At 36.6% G+C, this 3,588-nt stretch overlaps 1 annotated feature.

Annotated features, from left to right (window-relative positions):
- Positions 1,808–3,007: an enhancer, noted in NCBI's record as "MED14-independent group 3 enhancer chr5:92694967-92696166 (GRCh37/hg19 assembly coordinates)". NCBI's record gives its function as "activates an origin of replication core promoter dependent on BRD2, BRD4, P300/CBP and CDK7 cofactors, and independent of MED14, by STARR-seq in HCT116 cells {active_cell/tissue: HCT116}" and the evidence as "EXISTENCE:reporter gene assay evidence [ECO:0000049][PMID:35650434]".

Genomic DNA, 3,588 nt, shown 5'->3' on the forward strand with positions numbered 1-3,588 from the left:
TCCTTCTTCTACTAAAAGTTATGATGTAAGAGATTCACTTTTTCAGGTTCTTTCTAGATTCAAGTTCTAGGTATTCCCATATTTTAATTGTTCCAGACTCACTCTGTTTTAGTATCAAAAATAATTGAGGGCTATGCTATATTTTTGAGATGTGTTGAAAAGATGTTTTAAATTTTTGAGATCATGGTTCAAAAGTTATATATAACAAGAAATAGAAATCAAATACATATATATTTTCCTCAAATGCAATAAGAATAATCCCAACCAATATTCTGCTTTAAAAAAACATACAGAGAAATTACAGAGAATACATCCCTTTCCAGTGGGTACCAATAGCCAGGTGAGTGCATTTTTTGTAGTTTATCAGTCTTGTCCGGTGGTTGAAAACCACATCCTCAATTTCAAAATCCAACCACAATCCCATTAGGTCTTTAAAAAGTTTCAACTAGACTACCCTCTTGGGACACCTTGACATAGAAATGCACTATCTTTTCTTCTGTTTGCCTTAAACTGGATTCCAGGTTTTTTCAGTATTCTTTCCTTCTGATGAGTCTGAATAACCTGTTCCTCAACTCCAAGTCTTCTCTCAGGCCTTGCTCTCTTTCTTTCCCCACCTCCTTTGCTCCTCTCCCCAGCCTCATTAGAAGGCAGCACCTCTTTCACCCCGTTCTTACTTGACTTGTTGCTTGTGCTACATAGGCAGTTTGTGACAAAGCCAGGTCTAGACTGTGTCTCCAAGGCTCCATGCCTGTCTGATAGCCAAATAGATCTCCTGCCTTTAAAATAGGTTGTCTACTCAAATGTAGTCTTTCTTGGTTCTTTACATTTTGAGAACACATAGAGAAAACTGATAAATCCTCAGGCTCCTATGGTGGTGAAAAAGCCAAGGTTAAAGTTTTTATTTTATATTATTTGTCACCAACTGCTCCTGGCAACAGAGGAAAAATATGTCAAGCTTTTATGATTTTATGAACTGTTATGTAAGTAATGCTATGTACCAGTAAAGAAACAACTTATGAAAATATTTTTAAAGGGTAGAACGAGATTAAACTTATCATAAAGTTAACCAGAGAGAGGAAATAAAGCAATAGTGAGTTTGGTTAGTCACATACTGTTCCTAGGGTTTTATGTATTGATACACATTTTTGGAGTGGTATATACCTAGTATTATAAATTTAGATACACACAAAACTACCCTCAGGAGAATTTTGTTAAAGAGAAGCATTAAAGAAGAATTAGACTGGTGAATTTCATCACACAAGGAAATATATTTACTGGTCTTTTTCATACTGTTTTACAATAAATGAAGTTATATATAAACATTCTTTTGGGTAATAATTTAGGGAAGAGATCCCACCATTGCTTTTTTTTTTTTTTTTTTTTTTTACCAAATTAGAAGTCTAATTTGGATCTCCATACTAAAAAGGACATGTTATTTTTATTTGCTTGTGGACTTTATAATTCCCTTCTCCCTGGAAAAGATTTCAGTCTTCCAAACAATTTTATTCTGGAAAGAAGATTGTGGAATGCTCAGGAACAGAAAGAGAACACAAATTGGAGCTTGATGTGAACTGCTTACAGAACAGAATAGGTGGGGTGTCATGCAGTGTGAGGTTGTGTGTGGTCAGTATACTACTTACTTAGTTTTATCAACTTTTAAAATTGTTTTGCAGGCACTCCATTAGTTAGCATGAAAAGAGCTCAAGAAAATTTTATATATAATAGAGATACATGATTTGGTTCTACAGCTTACACTACAAAATTACACTACTGAATAACACGATTCAGGAAATTAATTAAGTATCCTAGTATCATGGCCTTCTGACAAATGTACAGAACATACCGGACGCAGAGAGATAAAACAATAAAAGTTATAATTCTCATCCCACCCAATGCATCCTGAGTCAACAGAAAACTGAATGATAACACAAATATCATAGGATGGAATGTCTGTGTGGCTGCAGAAGGCCTTCCCTTCCTTTTCCTGTTTATGTTGTCAATTACGAAATGCTGAGCTGGAATGTTCTGGTATTTAAGACCCGTCAGCGTTTTCTCCTTTTCCTCATATTTACGTTAGCCTTTTCCTTTAATTATCTTGATGTTGTTATTCTTGGCAAAGCTGTCCTTTCCATGATGGTGTGTTTAGCTTCCAGACAGTCCCTACTTCCTCCTTATCTTTGTGAGCTCATTAACATTTCCAGCTCCAACTACTCACATCCCCTCTTCAACATCACCTCACCTTCATAGCTCAGTTCTTTTTCTCTCTTTTCAGCCCTTCTTTCAACTCTCACCCCAACCCTCTCACCCCTTTGGAATAACAAGTTATTTCCTCTTTCATTTCCTGTTACAGAAGATGTTTTTGGACCCATTCCCGAATATCTTTGGCATGAAAGTGTACCCACGCCGCTCTGTGTTTCCACTGGGCACATTTCCAGATATGTTTCATCAGCCTGGAGCCCTCAGCCCTCACACCAAGGTGAGCCTGGCCCTGTCAGTCACTGTCACCACCCGACCAGCATTCCAGGTGAGCTGAGATGACGGAGACGCAACTGGGGAGTCCTGCTCCCGCTGGCAATAGGCTCTTCTTTTCAAATCTGTTTCAAGAAGTCTATTTGAGGTATGAAAATCGGGACTTTTTTTATTTCAAGTAAAAAGGATTAAATGGCAGGAAGGAAGGCTGAGTCAGCAATATTTGTCCAGCTGAGACATGTGTCTCAATTTATGGAATAACTGTATTATCCAATTACTTTTCATTCTTTATAGGTCATCCAGAAGTAAGTTTGACAGTTGCATCCAAGCTGGAGGAAAAATGTATGAAACAACAAACAAAACTGACTAAAATTAAATGGTTTCTACTTTAGGGTTAAAAAAAATTGAGGAGGGAGTCATCTTACAGTGATGTGCCACATAATAGCATTTAGGTTCCATAAGACTATAATACCATATTTTTTACTGTACCTTTTCTATGTTAAAGTGTGTTTAGATACACAAACACCATTGTGTTACAATTGCCTACAGTATTTAGTACAATAAAATGCTGTACAGATTTGTAGCCTGGGAGAAATAGGCTATACTGTATAGTGCAGGTATGTAGCAGGCTATACATCTAGGTTGGTGTAAGTACACTCTATGATGTTCACGTGACAAAATCACCTAAGGACGCATTTCTCAAAGTGTTTCCCGTTGTTAAGCAAGGCATAACAATAATTTGCCCTTTAATGGGGCTGGGGTGTTATTATTCATGATGATTAATAAAACAAACTAAAAACTTTACCTTTCATTATGTCATGGTTTATTGAAGTGAACAGTTTCATAGTACACTTCCATATTTCTTTTTAATATTTATGCATCATTAGTAAAATATATTTATGAGCTAGAGGACACTGTCTTGAGATAAAGTGTTTGCTCATCAAGACCCAAAGACAAGATGTCATGCCCACGTTCTGAATCATGCAACCCTAAGCAGTCTACTCCACATTTGATATCTAGTGCTCTGTCAACCAAGTAAGTAAATATGCATGAAAGCACCCATTCAAACTACTGGCATTAAAATCTAGTACCCATAAACATGTTACTCCAACTAAACGT

The sequence above is a fragment of the Homo sapiens genome, chromosome 5, assembly GCF_000001405.40.
Source record: "Homo sapiens chromosome 5, GRCh38.p14 Primary Assembly".
Lineage (NCBI taxonomy): Eukaryota > Metazoa > Chordata > Mammalia > Primates > Hominidae > Homo > Homo sapiens.